General features: G+C 38.1%; 1 protein-coding gene and 1 long non-coding RNA gene across 20 annotated transcripts in view; one reads left to right on the top strand and one right to left on the bottom strand.

Moving 5' to 3' along the window:
• ENTPD1-AS1 (ENTPD1 antisense RNA 1) overlaps nucleotides 1-20218 on the top strand; it is a 337030-nt gene that overhangs the window by 96368 nt on the left and 220444 nt on the right. The window lies entirely within an intron of this gene.
• The window catches only part of CC2D2B (coiled-coil and C2 domain containing 2B), a 126075-nt gene that overhangs the window by 39878 nt on the left and 65979 nt on the right, over nucleotides 1-20218 (bottom strand). For 17 of the 19 annotated variants that reach the window (XR_002956979.2, XR_002956978.2, XR_002956977.2 and 14 more), the window contains 6 exons: nucleotides 19712-19859; nucleotides 11755-11893; nucleotides 10059-10262; nucleotides 5526-5618; nucleotides 2407-2498; nucleotides 1171-1341 (listed from right to left, as the gene is read on the bottom strand). Coding sequence is in view for 15 of the 19 variants with exons in the window: in XM_024447995.2 (XP_024303763.1) it covers nucleotides 1171-1341; nucleotides 2407-2498; nucleotides 5526-5618; nucleotides 10059-10262; nucleotides 11755-11893; nucleotides 19712-19859 (847 nt within the window). In the remaining 4 variants the exon portion in view is untranslated. Of the gene's footprint in view, nucleotides 1-755; nucleotides 860-1170; nucleotides 1342-2406; nucleotides 2499-5525; nucleotides 5619-10058; nucleotides 10263-11754; nucleotides 11894-19711; nucleotides 19860-20218 lie in introns of all 19 variants that reach the window. The other 2 variants (XR_002956980.2, XM_024448004.2) reach the window with 2 other exon arrangements.

Genomic DNA, 20218 nt, shown 5'->3' with positions numbered 1-20218 from the left:
CTCTCTCTCTCTCTCTATATATATATATATATACACTCTTTATATATACACTCTATATATATTCTCTCTCTCTATATATATATACTCTATATATATACACACTCTTTCTATATATATATGACAAGTTATACTTTAAGAATATATCCCTCCTACTTTTTTGGTGTTACAATATTCTTTTTTTTTTTTTAGCAGCATGATGCTTATAGAAAATGGTGGTGATTTTATATGTCTTTATTTCACAAAACAGCCTTTGAAATATGCATTTGTTTTGAGCATACTTAATTCTTTTAGAAGAACAAGGCTGTAATTTGTAAGACACTGGCAAAACCTTTAAGAGATGTTAACTATAGATTAGTAGCCAGTAAGCAAAGCATTTGTTTTTCATAGGAAGAATTCATGAGCTGTGGTAGGCATAAATGTAAGCAAGCAGGGCACATGTATTGAACACAGACAGAGGGGAATGCCTAACATTCTTAAGGCATTTGGGTATAAATATTAGTAATATATAAATCATACTGACACTACATATATGAGACACTAAATATCCAGGATACACTAAATACACGTGGGCACTTAATATTCATGATGCTGTACTTTGCCCACCCACTAGTGATGTCCACTCTGGCCCCATGTATCCTCTGCCCCCAAAACACAAATAAAACCCAATGGGGCACATACAATTTGTAGATGTTACCTAAAAATAACAGGTCTAAAACAGAGCAGGGTGTAACTGTAGCAATTCTGATTTTACACACCATTCCACATTTGCTTCGCAGCTTTCCTGGGGCATTTTCTCCACCTTTCTGCTTCCAGTACTGAGAGAGTCAGTGGCATGGAATAGGGCAGTTGGCAGCAGAAGCTTCAGAATTTTCACAACAGGGAATAGAGACAAAGGAATTTACTTGATACAGTATGAGAAGGTGAGCATGCAGCCAATACCCTCAAAATATACATGTTAAAGTTACTCTGGGAATCTCGAACCTCAGAAAACTCTTAATACATGGCATTGACAGTAGGTATGACTATGCAAATGAAGATTTCAATTTTCATTCATTTTATGTATATGGAGCATTAACAAAGTGCAAAGGTTTACAAATAGAACAGCATGGAGAATTCTCACATTTAAAATAGACCTTTTGCAACTCTAAAAATTGGGGCATATTGCCTTACCCATTAATTGTTGTTTTTCTGGTAGGAATATTATAGGCCCTCACTATTCGGACAAGAATCTTAATATCTCCGTCAGAGATCGCCTGCGCTGTGACTTTTTTCCTTTCTTTCCTCTGAGGTTTTAACTTTCTCCGTGGTTCAACAAACTTACAAACTGCATCTGTCAATTGGCTAAAGGGTAAAAAATGATCATTAGCCTCATTTACGTTTTCTTGGTTTTAAAAGATAACAGTCTTTTGAGTAATTGAAATGAGACCATTATTCTAAACCATATTCTCTGCATTATGGAGGGGAGACAGAATTGTCTTAAACTCAAGGAGAAATATTTTTCTTAGCATAGGAAGGAAGAGATGCTATGTTCCTTCATGTTGAGAGAGACTGTGATTGCTCCTTGCCCCTTGGGTACATGGTCCAAACAGATACGTGGACATGGAGAGGTAAAGCCATGAAACATGATGATCTTTTGGAAGATTATTCATTGTTCAGGAATCATTCTCTTGAAAGTGCCCGAATATTAACATTTTATCCATGGCTCTGAAACTAGAATTAGTTATATATGCCGCCAACCCAGGCAACACAAATCCATAGAATTATAGTTTTATGGTCACACTCATTTTCCCCTCAAGGACTGAAAAGTAAAACACAATAGAGTTCAGCATCCTAAACCCGTTGAAAACCTTACTGATCATTCCAGGAGTCTGCATGTGGCCTCCAGGGAGTTTTCCCAGAGACAGCCCTGTTCCTACCCTTAGTTCACAGATAGGACAGTATGAGAATTGAGTTACTTCAGCAAACGCTCCCCCAACTGCTGCCTGTGGATCTCAGTACCTTTGTACAGCTGAGGATTCTCTGTTTTGCAAAGGGGTGATTACAGGCTTAGCATGGTGCTAGCAGCAACAACTTTTCCTATAGCAGTCTCAGGACAGGAAATCTTATGGCAAAACTAATTTGGGACAAAGGTGTTTCTTTTATTTTTCTTTCTTGCCCTGAAACCTGTCTAAGGAGAGGGCAAAAAACTGCCCCCAAATACTATATAATTGAAAATATATCATGTAGAGATCCCAAAATGCAACTTTAAATTGACCAAATATTTTAAATCATTATATTTCATGTTATGATCTGAAACCGCATCTTTTGACATATGGCTTAATTAAAATAAAAATAGAGAACTTAGAGGATTTTAAAGATATTATCTTAAAGGTTTATATTTCATACTTAATAGTTTTTAGCAATTACCTTGTAGATACAATTTCTTCATAATCATTCACAATATCTGACAAGTTACATTTGCTAATTTTAACAATTCTCTTCATTATCAACCTTCTCACCTAAAAAAAATTTAGAATTTAATAAAAAATGTATTGTTTATATTTTAAGGTTAAGTATTTACAATGCTACCGGTGCCAGTATATTTTACTCCTAATTTTTGCAAGCAATGAATGGAGTAGGAGATTAGACAAGTGAAAATACTCTTCTGTTTGCTGCCATTATTAAAGTAATTTCCAACTTTGACACTGTCACACCAAAGCTAGTTTATTTCCACTTTTTTTTGTCTTTCTACATCCAGTTCATCTCATCCTAAACTCTTTGCTCTCTTATTTTTTTCATCTAACTCACAGTGTATGTGGCCAGAACTAGTTTTCACCAAAGGAGACAATTGCCCTGTGAATCCACTTCTACAATAGCCACTAGTAATGGATATGAGTCTTGATCTACAAACCCAAGGAATTTTGATCCCATTTCTGTATTTCCTTCGAGTCAATCCTATTCTGACTTTAAGACCTCATTCTGGCAGCCTGGCAAGAAAGTCAGTGCTTGAAGGAAGCCATCTCCCTCTTCCTACTTGGAGAACCCACAGATCTTAGCTCCTCCAAGGACTCTGAACATCTCCTTTTTAGTCTGAGGAAATCCTTCCCTTTCTCCTCTTACCCTGTCTTTAGTTTTTCAGATATGAAACCAGGCAGAAGCATGTCTGGAGGCAATTTTCTGCTTTCTGTCCTGTCAAAGATCATTCTGGAGACAATGTAATCGAGACCCTAGTTATCTTCTTGAAGCGGGTAGGGAAATGGAGTGGTGAGAGATGAATGGGAAAAACATAACTCCTAAAAATTATCCTGCCACACGGACAACAAATTGTTTCCCTTGAAGGTGAACAAGACCCCGGTGGCCCCTTCACTGGCCACTCTCTCTCTTCTCCCACTTTCCCTTGGCACGATGCAGGCTGAGCTCCTGGCTGTTCCTCCCACAGGCCAGGTGTGCTTCTACGCCAAGTTTTCTACGCTGGGTTCCATCAGCCTAGAATATTCTTTCCCTAAACTTCCATGGCTAGCTTCCTTGTCTCCTTTAGGTCTTTTGCAGAAGTGTTACCTTCTTACCGGATTCTTTGACCACTTCTATTTAAAATTGTGCCCTTACTCACCCCAACCCCTCCCCTCCACCCAGAACTCCTGTTCTCTCTTCCTACTTTATTTTTCATAGCACCTTTCACTCTGTAACATACTAATAATGTGTTTCCAATTATCTGACTTATAGAATATATACTCAAGGAGCTCAGGGATTATAATAGGTGCTCAATAAATATTTCTTGAATAAATTAATGAAATGGACAGATTGAAGAGATGTGCTACCCTCTTAGAGAAAACGTTTCAGTAAAAACTTTAGTAATATTTGAGACTACTGGGACCTCATTCTGTACTGCTGTAATCCTGGCCTCAGCCATCACTGACTCCAGTAACACAGCAGGAAATGTAATGCACATAACTCACAGTTCCATGAGTTCCTCTCATAGAAGGATTTAGGTACCTATGGCCGTAATAGGCCTCCAGAAGCAAACTTTTCCAGTATCTTTGATTATAGTAATTATCCCATGAAACTACCAAACCTGTAGTTTCATTTTATTTTATTTTTCAAACCTGTAGTTTTAAACTGTCCTCAGCAAAGAAGTCTTCACAAGGAGTTAAAATCTAAACACAAAATGTTTGGAAAGTGCCTTTCCGGGATTCCTGTATGAAGTTCAAGCATACTCAGATACTTGCTCTCTTACATCCTTCCTAACCCTCTGCTACCCTCCCTCCTGGGCTTCTCCTTACATAAAAAAGAAGAAACAGGATAAGGAGGATATGTGTTCTCTTTTCTTATAAGCAAGAACACTTCTTTATTTCCCGAGACCACAAACTCACTATTAAAGCACATCCCAACTTAAAACATACAGCAAGCTAGTAAAGAAGTAAGAGAGGCAGGGGATGAGTGGGAAAAACAGCTGCCAGTGATAAAGGGGGCTGTCTCATGCCTGGGAGAGCTACAGCGGTCCACATTCCATCTCACAGTCATGGTGTACGAACTAGAAGAACACTTGTGGTTTGATCTCATTTGCCCCTCACATTGGATGTAAAGCAAAGCAAGCATTAATATTGTCCGTTTTTGTAAAAAATAAAGTGGGACTCAGTGATTTGGTTACTTGCCAGTGACACACAGGGTAGTAAGAACAGGTCTTCAGACACCTGCCTGGGGCTCTACTAGCTATACATGGTTGCCTCTCACCTGTCCCCATGAGGGATCTGGAATGTATCTCTTAGCTCTTTCCATAGCTTTCCTTGCTTCTTTTCAAATTACCCTGCAAGGCTGCACTGGTGCTCTACAGCAAAGAAGATGTAGGTGGGTAAGAGTCTACTTTTGTAGGAGTTGTAGAAACCACCTCAACTCCCATCCTTTAATTCATTAATTTCTCAAACATTTATCAGCATTTTCTCAGTGTAAGATACTATGCTAGGCACTAAGGATCTGTAGATGTCGCCCCTGCACTAAGCTTCTAAGTCTAGTGGCATGATGAGGGGTTGATAGAAATCAGGCATGAAATCCAGTGAAGGATTCCACTCAAACCTGGTTAAGACTCTGCTAGAGTGTTTTGTAAATATTCACTATTTGGCTTCGTTTCAAAGCGTATCTATTTTTCTAATACTGTCTGTGTGCCTCTGGTAGCTCCTTCATCCCTTCATCTCCTGAATTGCTATAGTCCTTGACATCATGAGGCACCAGTAAATATGAGTTCTGGCAAAATGCTGGGGTATCTCTCAAGGTGAACTTTTAGAGTCAAAGAAGAGATGGGAAGTCTTTAAAATGTATGTTTAAACAGAAAAGGTTGGGATGTGCTTTAATAATGAGTTCACTGTCAATGAAGTAACCTAACTCTCAAAAAGAGGTCTGAAAAGAACAGAAAACTCCTCAGTGATCTGAAAGAGGTGACGAGTGAGTGGATTCGTCCATCTGACTCTCTGGAAGGACTATAATACCATGGATCTAGCAGACCAGTTTTCACAAAAACAAATGCAAATATATTGATAATACTGTGTTGTTACCTTTTTCAGAAAATTGGCAGAATTAATCCTTTGTGCTGTAATAGAATTTACATCTGAAACGGATACCTCCTTCTCTTTCTGACTTTCATACTCCTAAATACAGAATTGTTAGTTTCACTTCTTGAATGTAACAAAGAGTTCACATATGACACATTGCAATAAATATCACTAGTCACTTCAGTCCATGTGTAAGACACTGGAAACATTCTGAGACTGACAGAAGAAAACATTTCTTTTAGATTCTCCCACTGAGGATAGGCTAAAAACCAGTTTCTAACTATATTCTGTTTGGGTCTAGATTGAAGTCCATTCATCTTTTAAATTAGAGTAATGATTAAGAACAAGATTTGTGACTGAGAAAATGATTTTTTAGAAAAGTGAAGAGGATTGAGAAAAGATTCTTCATGTATGCATTTGCCCTGTATCACTAAAAACAAAATACGTGGTTAAGAGCATGGGCAGTGGAGGCAGACAGTCCTAGGTTCAAGTTGGCCCTGGCATTTACTAACTGTGCAGTTTGGAAAAGTTGATTAACTGCTCCAGACCCCACTTTCCTCTTCAGTAATAATAATAATGCCTCTGTCACAAGATTGTTTGTGAGACTTAATTGAAATAATATCTGTAAAGTGCCTGGCATATACTAAGTAGTTAATGTGTGTTGACTATAATAAATAATTTTAATATTACATATATAGTCAGTATAAGATTGTCAGGATGCTTCATCTAAATAAAGTAAATTTGCATTTGTTATTTATGCATTTTCAGTATTATATATCCCCAATGCACTTGGAAATGATTTTATATTATAGATATTATTAAAGACTATACAAAAATAATGAAGTAAATACTTTAGAATCTTCAGCCATGAAACAACGCATGCTCATTATCTGAAGGTAAGTTACTTGTTCTTCTAATTATCCATAAGAAATCCTGAAATTAATTCTTTTGCAAGTAACAACTTTTATTTAACAAAATATTATATTGCCATTTCATATCACGTTATTTACATTTTTTTTTTTGAGACAGAGTCTCACTCTGTCACCCAGGCTGGAGTACAGTGGCACGATCTCAGTTCACTGCAACCTCTGCCTCCTGGGTTCAAGTGATTCTCCTGCCTCAGCCTCCCAAGTAGCTGGGATTACAGGTGTGTGCTGCCACACCTGGCTAATTTTTGTATTTTTAGTAGAGACGAGGGTCTCACCATGTTGGTCAGGCTGGTCTTGAAACCCTGACCTTGTGATCTGCCCACCTCAGCCTCCTAAAGGGCTGGGATTACAGGCATGAGCCACCATACCCGGCCTCATATCACTTTATTTACTTTTAAAGTATTAAGTTTTAGGAGTTAACACAATACTCTGGATATTAATATTTTAATTTTATATATGTTGGGAATAACTTTTCTAATCTGTAGGTTTTTAATTTTAATGTTATAAAATTTATTAATCTGGCCAGGCACTGTGGCTCATGCCTGTAATCCTAACACTGTGGGAGGCCGAGGCGGGCGGATCACTTAAAGTTAGGAGTTCAAGACCAGTCTGGGCAACATGACAAAACCCTGTCTCTACCAAAAATACAAAAATTAGCCAGGCATGACAGCGCACACCTGTAGCCCCAGCTACTACAGAGGCTGAGGAATGAGAATCACTTGAACCCAGGAGGTGGAGGTTGCACTGAGCCGAGATCACGCCATTGCACTCCAGCCTGTGCGACAAAGTGAGACTCCATCTCAAAGAAAAACTAATTAATCTTGTTCTTTATAATTTATACTTTTCGTGTCTTATTTAAGAAATACCTTTGTATCCCAAAATTGAAATGCCCATTTCAAGTTTTGCTTTTCACAAGTAATCTTCACTACACATGGTATTTATTTCTTTTCTGATGTCTGAATCTAATTTTATTTCTTTCCACATGTATGAATAACAATTCCAGAACCAGTTAATGCATCCTTCATTCTTTTCCAACTGATTTGTTATCAGGGGAACCCGCCCCCAATAATTCAACGTTATTTCACGTAGGTTCTTTTCTATTTCCCTAAGTGTCGGCCGGTCTGAGAAATAAAGGGAAAGAGTACAAAAGAGAGAAATTTTAAAGCTGGATGTCTGGGGGAGACATCTCATGTTGGCAGGTTCCGTGATGCCCCCCGAGCCGTAAAACCAGCAAGTTTTTATTAGTGATTTTCAAAAAGGTAGGGAGTGTACGAATAGGGTGTGGGTCACAGAGGTCACATGCTTCACAAAGTAATAAAATATCACAAGGCAAATGGAGGCAGGGTGAGATTACAGGGCCGGGGCGAAATTAAAATTGCTAATGAAGTTTTGGGCACGCATTGTCATTGATAACATCTTATCAGGAGACAGGGTTTGAGAGCAGACAACCGGTCTGACCAAAATTTATTAGGCGGGAATTTCCTTGTCCTAATAAGCCTGGGAGCGCTACGGGAGACCGGGGCTTATTTCATCCTGTATCCACAACTGTAAAAGACAGACATCCCTAGAGCGGCCATTTTAGAAGCCTACCCCTAGGCACACATTCTCTTTCTCAGGGCTGTTCCTTGCTGAGAAAAAGAATTCAGTGATATTTCTCCTATTTGCTTTTGACAGAAGAGAAATATGGCTCTGTTCTGCCTGGCTCTCAGGCAGCCAGACCTAATGGTTATCTCCCTTGTTCCCTGAACATTGCTGTTATCCTGTTCTTTTTTCAAGGTGCCCAGATTTCATATTGTTTAAACAATTTGTGCAGTTAACACAATCATCACAGGGTCCTAGGGCGACATTCATCCTCAGCTTATGAAGATGACAGGATTAAGAGATTAAAGTAAAGACAGGCATAGGAAATCACAAGAATATTGATTGGGGAAGTGATAAGTGTCCATGAAATCTTCACAATTTATGTTAAGAGATTGCAGTAAAGACAGGCGTAAGAAATTATAAAAGTATTAGTTTGGGGAACTAATAAATGTCCATGAAATCTTCACAATTTATGTTCTTCTGCCATGGCTTCAGCTGGTCCTTCCGTTCGGGGTCCCTGACTTCCCGCAACAATTTGTAATGACAATGCTGTCAAATATAAAATTTCCACATATGCATAATAAGTCTATTCTATTTCTTTGGTTGGGAATTGCATTTCTATATTTACAGTTTAATATGGGTAGAATTGGCAGTTTACAATGTTGACTCTTCCTATCAATGAACATTTACTCAGATTCTTTTGTATATCATTCAAAAATATTTCAAAATGTTATCTGTTGAGTTTTTGCATAACTTCTGTCAAATATATTCCTATGTATCTTACAGTCTTTATTGCTCTTACAAGTGATATATTTGTTAAATTACATTTTTAGTGGGTTTTTACTGGTATATTAGATGCTATTTATTTTTGTTTAAAATTTTTTCGAATTTTCAAACATATAGAAAAGTAGAAATATATATACACACACATGTGTATGTGGGTGTGTGTGTAATTTTTTTTTTTTAAAGACAGGGTCTCACTCTGTCACCCAGACTGGAGTGCAGTGGCAGGAGCTCAGCTCACTGTAGCCTTGACCTCAAGTGATCCTCCCACCTCAGCCTCCAAGTAGCTGGCACTACAGGTGTGGTCCACCATGCCCAGCTAATTTTGTTTATTTTTTTGTAGAGATGAGGTCTCACTATTTTGCCCAGGTTGGTCTCAAACTCCTGGACTCAAACTATCCTTCTGCCTCAGCTCCCCAGAGTGCCAAGATTACAGGCATGAGTCACTGCACCTGGCTGAAAAAAAGAAATTTTAAAATCCATATCTCTACCCCATTGATTAAATAATTAATATTTTATCATATTTGTTTTATCTGTTTTTATTTATTTTATTTTTGGCTAACATATTCTCAATTACAGTCATGATGACACTTTAAGCATCTCTAGATAAATACTTCAGCATGAATCTCCAAAGACTAAGGACATGCTTCTACATAACCACAATGCCGTAAGCACCACAAGCAATTCTCCAATATTATCTAATATTTGATCCATATCCAAATCTCACCAAGTAGCAAACTTAAAGCAACTAATATGAAAAGCTAGCCTTATTTGATAGTGTGCTAGACCTGGCTGGCACCAGCTAGTGAGAACCTATTGTGCATCCCAGCTTTTGTTTTCTTTTAGAAATATTTTAAAGATTCTAACATTGAGATGGGCCTTATAATTAATGTTTAAGTTTACTGTGGTAGTGTCTCTCCCCCTTACTCCCAAAGCCGCTTTTAAATTGGTGATACATTTTATGATAACAAAAATATAATAGTTACATAAATTTAGAATATGCCTAAAGGATTTTGGCTGCTGAATACTGAATAGACTGTTTGGACAACACTAAATCGTAAAGTCAAGCTGAAGAATTTCTGGAATTTGGGAGATACGTATATTTTTAATGCCTAAAGAGAAGGGAGGAAATCTGTCTACAGATTATTAGCTTAAAAAAAAAGAAATAAATTAAGATAGGGTTAAAGCAGCAAAACGTTAACTTTATCATACAATAAGCCATATTCAAATAGAAACCAAATACCTGGAAGACTAAATCTGGAATCTCTGTATCATGGAGGGGCATTTGCTGTAGAAGGAAATTATCTAATTGACCTGCATTTCTAAGTTGCAATAGCTGGAAACGTTTACTCTTTGCCATTTCCTCTTCAGAAACGAAGTTAAATTCATCTTGCAACTGTTCAAGACGAAAATACTTTGGAATATCCTGCCCCTTAAGTCTCATGTACTGTAAAACGCAAAGTCTTTAGTTAAAATATTAATTTTTTTTAATTCAGGAATTACTTCAAAAGACTTTTTCCCCAACTGTGAGATCTGAGTGGCAATATAAGTAGGAAATGGAACAACTGAATTTGTAGTCTAGAACATACAAAAAACAAAACAAAATAGAATCCAGCCTTTGTGGCTTTCCAACCTTTTCCCAGTCATGACTTACAAAGAAAACGAAAATATTCGCACTGAACACTGAATTTTGTATTGTACACTGATAGGGCAGATGAGACTGTTCCTATCTGGTCATCCTGAGTTGAGAGAGGATCAATATTTCTGTATACCTATAACCAATTCTGCACCTCAGCTGAGAAGCTCTAATCTAGGGAGTTTACTTGCAGCAATCTAATCTATAGGTTGTTTTATTCAACAAATGCAAATGTGAGTGCATAGTACACACGAGGAATAGTGCTAGCTGCCATCAGAGAGACACAGATTTCTTAGCTGTAGTTCCACAAGGAAAAATAAAATATATGAATGAATAACTACAGTAGGCTGGGCGCAGTGGCTCATGCCTGTAATCCCAGCACTTTGGGAGGCCATGGCAGGTGGATCACCTGAGTTCAGGAGTTCAAGACCAGCTTGGCCAACATGGTAAAACCCCCTCTCTACTAAAAATACAAAAATTAGCTGGGCGCAGTGGCGTGTGGCTGTAATCCCAGCTACACGAGAGGCTGAGGCAAGAGAATTGCCGGAACCTGGGAGGCGGAGGTTGTGGTGACCCGAGATCGCACCACTGTACTCCAGCCTGGCAACAGAACGAGAGTCCATCTAAAAAAAACAAACAACAATAACAACAAAAAACAAAGAAACCTATAGTAAAAGGCAGAATGAAATTAGAGTCATAAGAGTTGATTTTTTAAAAGAGAAGAAGAAAGGTTAACAGGAAAGCAAGGAAAGAAAATGTGGTGCCTAACTGAGGTTACCAGGGAAGCATTTATTAGACTTGCAGGGTGAATAAGATAACCGCTATGGACACCCTTCTAGGCAGAGCAGTGGCATGAATAAAGGTATGAAGAAAGCATGTGTGAGGTACATAGAGCAGTTCAGTTGGCTATAAAGAAGAGTAGAGGTGACCATATAATGGAGTCTGAGAGAAGGAGTGTGTTTATAAATCATCTCGGTATCTTCAGTATCTAATACCATGGCTGGCACATGGTAACTGCACAATAGATGTTAGCATAAAAGACTGTCAGATGTGCTGTGGCTGCTAAGTAGTGGCAGAGGACCATCCATCAGGCCTAAAGGAGGAATTATTTCAGTTGCTGAGTTTCTAATTGTCTTTACAGTATTGTACACTGGTTGAAAATGGTCTCTGTCCTCAGATTTACTTTTACATAACCCCAAGAGCCTAGAAAAATATACAGCAAACTATGGGGGAAACTATACTTTCCTAAGTAGAGCTTAGGAAATAGAATATGTTTACAGTATTGATATTTGCTTTAACTTACCGTAACAGATTCCATTAAATCAGAATATTCTGGATTATTTGGATCAATTCTGACTTCATTTGCCCATTCAAAAAGCTTCTGTTCATTCATGAGCCATGGAATTCCAGGAACACTTCTTGCATCTACATTCCTTAACATACTAACATAGAGAAAATATTTTGTGAACTTGCATACAATATAAAATATATGTATTATATATAATACACTGTTATATAGGGTAAAAACATACCCATTCTGGGTATTTGAAGATAAAATTTATCCATCCTCTGTATTTATGGATAGAATAGAAAGTTGAGATGTGACATCTCTCCTAGTTTTCACTCTAACTTGTATCACAGCTTTTTGATAAATGTTTATAAGAGACAATAACCTTATTAAGAATAGTCTGTAAATATTCATCTTTGCCATCGATATTGTATGTAACAGCTAAAATACTGTAGATGCTTAAATGAATGGTGCTTATGGGATGTATTATGTAAACCCTAAGCATAGTAACTTATTAAATGTTTTCTTTTCACAGGATGCACAATATTGAAATTTAATCAAAATATTCACTTAAGCAAAATTAAGAAAGCACAGAAAATAAAAACCACATTTAGGCTACATATTTACAGTGGAAACATAATAGAAAGTAATGCAATTAACTGGGTAAGTATGTGCCAGAGGACCATCCTTGGTCATATGAGATAATCTTTTTTTTTTTTTTTTTTTTTTTGAGACGGAGTCTCACTCTGTAGCCAGTTGCCAGGCTGGAGTGCGGTGGCGCGATCCCGGCTCACTGCAACCTCTGCCTCCCAGGTTCAAAGCGATTCTCATGCCTCAGCCTCCCGAGTAGCTGAGACTACAGGCACGTGCTACCACGCCTGGCTAACTTGTGTATTTTTAGTAGAGAGGGCATTTCACCATGTTGGCCAGGATGGTTTCAATCTCCTGACCTTGTGATCCGCCCCCCTTGGCCTCCCAAAGTGCTGGGATTACAGGCATGAGCCACTGTGCCCTGCCATGAGATAATCTTAAAAGTTGGAAAGCTGTAAAAGATAGGCTAGACTCCTAATATATTCTTAGTGACCTTAGCTATAGACTAAGTGCAAAAGGAATTCAACCCTAATTGAGTAAGGATTTCTTTAGAGCCATCAATTATCCCAGCTATTTAATCTGTCTCTTCATAGAGAATTTGTCTTATCATGTGTAACTAGAGAAATTTGGACTACAATCCAAATTTCTACAATCCTTTCTATAAAGTAGTCCAGAAAGGTTCCTGTCTATAAATTGGGATTCCAGAAATACAGTTCTGACACGGATTCAACAATGTCTTAGCCCAAACACGAGCACACATTTTATACTGTCTCCTTCCCATTTGTTCATATTTCTTTGATGATTCTTCTGAGGCTATTGCTGCAAAAGCCAATGTGTGGTATGGTAAGATGTAAGGAAAATTACGAACAGGTGAAGTTTGCATATTCTTCTTTTCTTTTGCTTCCCATGTCTGCCCTCATTTTGAACTGTTTTGATATCTATGTCATAAGAGATCGCTAGGACCTGACACCCTTTACACCATCATGTAATAAATTTTCCTTCTTGAAACAGTCTTAGCCCAGATCACCTAGAAGACAGCCTCAGGTAAAGCTTAAATCTTAACGAATAGATTAGAAACTTTTCCCGTTATATCCTTTAACAACAACAACAACAACAACAACAAACAACAAAGAAAGTTGTAATTGAATTTCAACATAGTCCCATGGTTTCTGCCTCAGAGAAAGTAATACAAATCTCAGAGCCTTGCTACAATGATTCCCCCAGCTGCTCCTATACACGTTTAGCTGTAGGCTATGGCTCACAGCAGTGCTGTTCTTGGGTCAAAACCAGTCAAATGATTGAAGATTTTTCCCTCCCTCCTTCCCTCCCTCCCTCCCTTCCTCTCTTCCTTCCTTCCTTCCTCCTCCCTCCCTCTTCTTTTCGATTGAAGATTTCTACTTTGGTGATGGAGAGCTGGAAGCAGTACTTTATAAAAGGCATGGGAAACTCTTTGGTTGTTGTCTATCTAATGCAGCCCTGACATTTACATCTTGTTTCTGACAAAAGAATCAAAGTATAGCATGGCCCCAAGAAAGAGGCGAGCTTTAATTCTAGCAGGCCCCAAGACCTTGGCTTATACACCCAAATGCAAGGCCACAGCCACCACATTTGTAAATTGAGGTAAAATATACATAACATTTACCACTTTATTTTAAAATACACAATTCAGTGGCATTAAGTACACTCACAATGTTGTGCAACCATCACCACCATCCATTTCCAGATTGTAATGATGGTTGTACAAGCCTGTGAATATATTAAAACCATTGCATTGCATGTTTTAATTGGCTGAATTTTATGGTTTGTGAGTTGTATCTCAATAAAGATGTTAAAAAATAGTTAAAAATATAACTGTGCTGAGAGCTAAGATAAACATTCCTGTGAACCAGAAATGGAAAAGAAAGGCAGAGTGGTGAGTGGGGATAGCACTGTGGGCTTGCTGGGCTTCAGGCCTAGGAGCAGTCCATGGTGGTTGTGGGCTCAGTTCCTGAGACAGGGAACTAGCACCAGGCTTATCATTTTAAGCCAAAGATCTGGGGGGAACTTTACTTAGATAAAGAGACCTTTAAAAAAATACTGACCACTGCATGGGGCCATGGCTTTTAGAAAGCTATGAGTCTAGAGAGGGAAAAGGACACAGACACTGCCCCATAATGAGGAACTGAACCAGGCTCACAGCTCACCAGATACCTAGATCTGTGATGACTCCAGTAGCAACCCAGTATAACAACCCAATCTCCCAACCTATCCAGTAAGTAGGCTTACAGCCCACTTCTGGATTTAGGAGGACAGATGAAGTCAAATTCAGAACCATTAGGTAAGGAGGGGTAGATACAGAAGGAGAGAGAGGAAAAAAAAAAAAAAACACCAAAAACCCAGAAACGTATAAATCAAAATCACCCAAAAGTTCTTCAAGTCAAAATGACACTGCTAACCAAAACTTCTGAGCAAAGAAGCCATGCTCAGAAAAATAATCAACAGTTATCAACTATCAGAACATAAATTAATTCTAGTTGAAATTCATTTTATGAAAGTCTGCCAAACACATTTTAATGAAGTATGCTTACGATGTAAAAGCAAATGAAAACTAATAATTCACTTTTAAATGCAAGAAATAATGGAACAAAATGCCAAAATGAAATAAGAAAATGTAGATATGAAAGAGAATCAAACAGAAAACTTGGCAGCAGAAAATAAAAGTAAAAATTATAACATAAAAATCAAATAAACCTTATACTGGACAAAGTTGAATAATGAATTAAGGAACTAAAAAATAGTACGCAGAAATTCACCCAGGATGCAGATGAAATAAAAACATAAAAATGTGAAATAATAGGTAAGAGATGTGGCTAATAGGCTGAGGCTTGGCTGGGCTCAGTGGCTTAGGCCTGTAATCCTAGCACTTTGTGAGGCCAAGGTGAAAGGATCACTTGAGCCCAGGAGTTTATCAGCCTGGGCAACATAGCAAGACCTCCTCATCTCTTAAAAAGAAAACAAAGAAAGCAAGAAAAAAATTAGCTGGATGTGGTGGCACCTGCCTACAGTCTCAGCTACTCGGGAGGCTGAGGCAGGAGAGTTGTTGAGCCCTGGAGTTTGAGGCTGCTATGATTACACCACTACATTCCAGCCTGAGTGACAGAGTGAGACCCTGTCTCAAAAATAAATAAATGAATAATAGACCAAGAGGCTCCAATACAAATTCAATAAGAAATCCTGAAGGAGAGAAGAGTGGGAATGGGGAAGAAGTAATATTTGAAGAAATAGTGGCTGAGAAGTTTCTGTAATTGATGAAAGATGTGAGGCTTTAAACATGAAATTTATTCTGCTAAGCAGGAAGAAGAATAATGATAAATCCACACATATACAGTATAGTAAAATTTCAGTACTTTAAGGATAAAGCAAAATTTTTTTCATGGCTCAAATGGCAGTTTCTTCCTTTTTTATTAAGGTTAAAGATACATAATATAAAATTTACCACCATTTTAAAGTGTATGATTCAGTAGTATTACGTATACTCACGGTACTGTATAACCATCATCATTACCTATTTCCAGAATTTTTTTCTTCATCCCAAACTGAAACTCTGTACACATTAAAAAATAACTCCTCATTTCTCCCTTCCCCATCCCTGGTAACCTTTATTCCACTTTCTGTCTCTGAATTAAAGTGAAATATTTCAATATTATCAGAGAGAAAAGATAGCCTATAAAAGCCCAACATTTAGACCAATAGCAGACTTATAAATAGCAATGATAAATCCCACAAGATAATGCAGTACTGTAACAGCTTCAAAGTGCTAAAGGGAAATAAATAACATCCTCAAATTTTCTACTCACCTAAACTATTAAGAATGAGGGCAAAATAAAGACACTTTTAGATCTAGAAAGGCTAAAGAATTTTGCTATCCATAGAAACTAACTGAAAGAATCATTAAAGGAGCATGCTTTCAGCATGAAAAGTAAATCGAGAATGAAGGATGGGAAATAAGAAATAAGGTAAACATAAAAGTCAATGAACTATGTTAAAAATTTCATTAACTAGTGTGTGTAAGAAAAACTGTTTCATGTTTAAAAATGAAAACTCTAGACAACGATCATTTAGGTTAGAGAGGTGTGGTGTTTTTTTTGTTTGTTTGTTTTTGGTTTTCTGATTTGTTTGTTTATTGAGACAGAGTCTCACTCTGTCACCAGGCTGGAGTGCAATGGCATGATCTTGGCTCACTGCAATCACCGCTTCCCAGGTTCAAGCGATTCTCCTGCCTCAGCCTCCTGGGTAGCTGGGACTACATGCGTGTGCCACCATGTCCAGCTAATTTTTGTATTTTTAGTAGAGATGGGGTTCCACTCCACCATGTTGGCCAGGCTGGTCTCAAACTCCTGACTTCAGGTGATCTGCCCACCTTGGCCTCCAAAGTGCTGGGATTACACGGTGAGCCACCACGCCCAGCTGGAGAGGTGTGTTTAATGTGGTATTAAAGCACTAAAGCTGGGCTGGGTGCGGTGGCTCATGCCTGTAATCCCAACACTTTGGGAGGTGGAGCCAGGCGGATCACCTGAGTTCAGCAGTTTGACACTAGCCTGACCAACATGGAGAGACCCCGTCTCTACTAAAAATACCAAAAATTAGCTGAGCTTGGTAGCGCATGCCTGTAATCCCAGCTACTCTGGAGGCTGAGGCAGGAGAACTGCTTGAACCAGGGAGGCAGAGGTTGCAGTGAGCCGAGATTGCACCATTGCACTCCAGCCTGGGCAACAAGAGCGAAGCTCTGTCTTAAACAAAAAAAAGCATCAAAGCTTTCTGAGACTCTCTTTCGGTTCACTACTTTATCTACAGTTCAGTCAGTGTTTGATGAATGAGTAAGTGAATGAATGAGTAACAAAACTGCCTTTCAGTTCTCCTTTGGCTTCATTCTCTGACTTCCACAAGTCAGTCCTGCCCTCTGGAGCACCCATCCCAATTCCTAGAACCTACTGCTCAGAGCCAGTCCTTGAGCTGCCACAACAAAACTGTGGGAAAGTTCTGTAACTTCCTCTAATTGTAAAGTTTGACTTAGAGAGGGCCCTGGACTTTGAAAACCTCTTTTGCAATTTACTTCCTGCTGAAACCTGTCATCTGTCCCACTCTTGCATGTAACTGTTTTCAATCTTTTGTAAGCTTGAGTTTCCAAGTAATAGGAATTGTAAGACAACGGAGACAAGCCAATGAATATGGCTTGAAGGTCACTTGCTGGTAACCTTCAGTGACAAGTGGGTAGGATTAGGAAGGGAATGGGTGAGCAGAAAGTGGAGGGAATGTATGCAGACCAGTAGGCCACACATAGGAGAACTCTGGCAGGAAAAATCTAGCCAAAATGGGCTTCAGGATTTAATCAGGTGCTTGAGTTTTTGCTTGTTTGTTTTAAAACAAAGAAGGCTTTTGGGTACAAAAGACCAACAGCCTAGGGAGATGGACAAGTTGAATGGAAGAAAAAGATATAAATGCGTCTGTAGAATTGTAAAAGAGAGTTGCAAATTACCTGCATAAAAGTTAGCCTCAGAGTGAGGAGGACAAACATCTCACTCCAAGAAAAATGCAAACAATATTATGATGAGGCAAAGATTAGGAATAGCTGCTGTGGAGACTATGCTAGAGAAATATTAAGAAATATAACAAAATAATAGTTCTAGGTATTAAACACTTTTCCACTGGCTCCAAAATGAATTACCTTTAATAACTGTAAGATTTGCTCTTAAAATGACCTTCTCCAGGTCTCTAAGAAGATGACCTCATTTACTTAGCAAAACAAGGACATCCATCAAAGTTCCATTTCTGTTTTCATAGTGATGACTGTCCCATTCCCTGAGTTGAGGAAGAGAGAGTTTCTCTTCTCCAGAACCACAGTTATTCACTTGGGTTCTGGTTTGATACCTTCCTGACTCTGAAGGACCTTATACTCTTTCCAATATATTGGGTCTTTTTCCCCACTGATTTCAATCTTTTGTAAGCTCATCACTTTTAATCACTTCTTTTAAGAAGATAAATATGGCCCCAATTTTTAAGAAATCTGTACCTTGATTCTTTTGTCTTCTGTTATTTTTTAGCATTTTTTTATTGTCAAACTCCTTGGTAAGTAAACTACCCCCACTATGTCAGTTTCGTCCATACCAACGATCTCCTTGTGCTACTGCCATTTAGCTTTTTTCTCTTTGTTTCTTATGTACCGAAGAAAAGCATTTATGAACTCTTACTATGACTCTGGCCATATGCTACTGGTTTTTATATATAATGTTCTCCCTGTTCTTTTTTAAACAGTCTCTAATTTCAGTTTTGATTTTCCATTTAATCCAGTTATGTATAACAATTTTCAAAACTATAATATTTTTAAAACATAATTTTTTAGAGAAGTTTTAGATTTGCAGCAAAATTGAACAAAAGGCACAGAGAGTTCCCATGTACCCCATCCCCATAAACATGCACAGCCTCCCCAGCTGTTAACATCCCTCGCTGGAGTGGTACCTTTTTTTACAATCCATGAACCTACATTGACACATCATTGTCACTCAAAGTCCATAGTTTACATTAGGGTTCACCCTTGGTCTTGTAAATTCTGTAGGTTTTGACAACTGTGTAATGACATGTATCCACCATTATAATGTTATGCAAAATAGTTTCACTACTCTAAAAATCCCGTGTGCTCCAACTATTCATTCTTATCTCCCCCTAGAACCTCTGGCAACCACTGATCTTTCTACTGTCTCCACAGTTTTGCCCTTTCTAGAATGCCATAAGTTATATGAAGCTTTTCATTTCCGTTTATTTTTAAAAATATGTGTTAAGATGTGGAGGGGAGAGGATATCTTTTTGTTATCATTGTTCATTATTTTAAATGATGAAATAAACTTTTTCCTTTATATTTACCATTTCCCTCAAACATAGCACATTATGGAAGCCAGCATTATCATCATTTTCATAGAATTTACTGTACTTATTTCTAGTAATCCCACAAATAATTAATCTGAAAATTAACCCCAACCCTTCTGGGAACTCCCAGAATGATGATAATGCATAAATGATTCTTTGCTAATCCAGAATGACTGGGAGATATACAGGCCCCAGAAATAAAGTCCCTGGGAGTCTTGACCTTTGCCTACAAGTGAGGGACTCTGGGAATGCCTCTCTCATCATCTGTGTGGCTATAATTCCAAGCACTGAAGGGACACATTCTCTTACATATAAATACACATACTGCCTTAGTAGAGTGATTTAAATAAAAGATAAATCAACATTCAAATAGACTAAACTCTTCCTATTGCTGCTCAAGTTTTCTCTTTTACACATAATATGTTTTGTGTGATGCTTTGCTGAGACCTGGCATTATTTTTCAAAGATAAAAGTTTATTACCTGCAGTAAGAAGATCTTAATGATTGTGGCATAGGTATCAGAGGAAGACCATTTTCATCTAAGCTCCATGATAGAGAATAGCTAAGTTTTCCTGATGTCAAAAGACAGAGTTCTTCAGTTCCATTTCCCTCAAGAAGAAAAGGCACATCTGTTTATAAAAGGCATTAAAAACATATGAATTGTTTTAAGTGCAGTTGAAGCACATTGTGGGTTTTTTCCTGAGTTTTACTTGTGGAACTCTAGGAACACAAAGGAAGATCTGTGCTAACCCCACTCTTTTTTTTTTTTTTTTTTTGAGACAGAGTTTTGCTCTTGATGCCCAGGCTGGAGTAAAGTGGGGCAATCTCAGCTCCCTGCAACCTCCACCTCCTGGGTTCAAATGATTCTCCTGCCTCAGGCTCCCAAGTAGCTGGGATTACAGGTGTCAACCACCATGCCTGGCTAATTTTTTGTATTTTTTAGTAGAGATGGGGTTTTACCATGTTGGCCAGGCTGGTCTCGAACTCC

The sequence above is a fragment of the Homo sapiens genome, chromosome 10, assembly GCF_000001405.40.
Source record: "Homo sapiens chromosome 10, GRCh38.p14 Primary Assembly".
Taxonomy (NCBI): Eukaryota; Metazoa; Chordata; class Mammalia; order Primates; family Hominidae; genus Homo; species Homo sapiens.
Note: the sequence above shows the minus strand (reverse complement) of the source record. Positions and strands in the feature narration are given on the sequence as shown.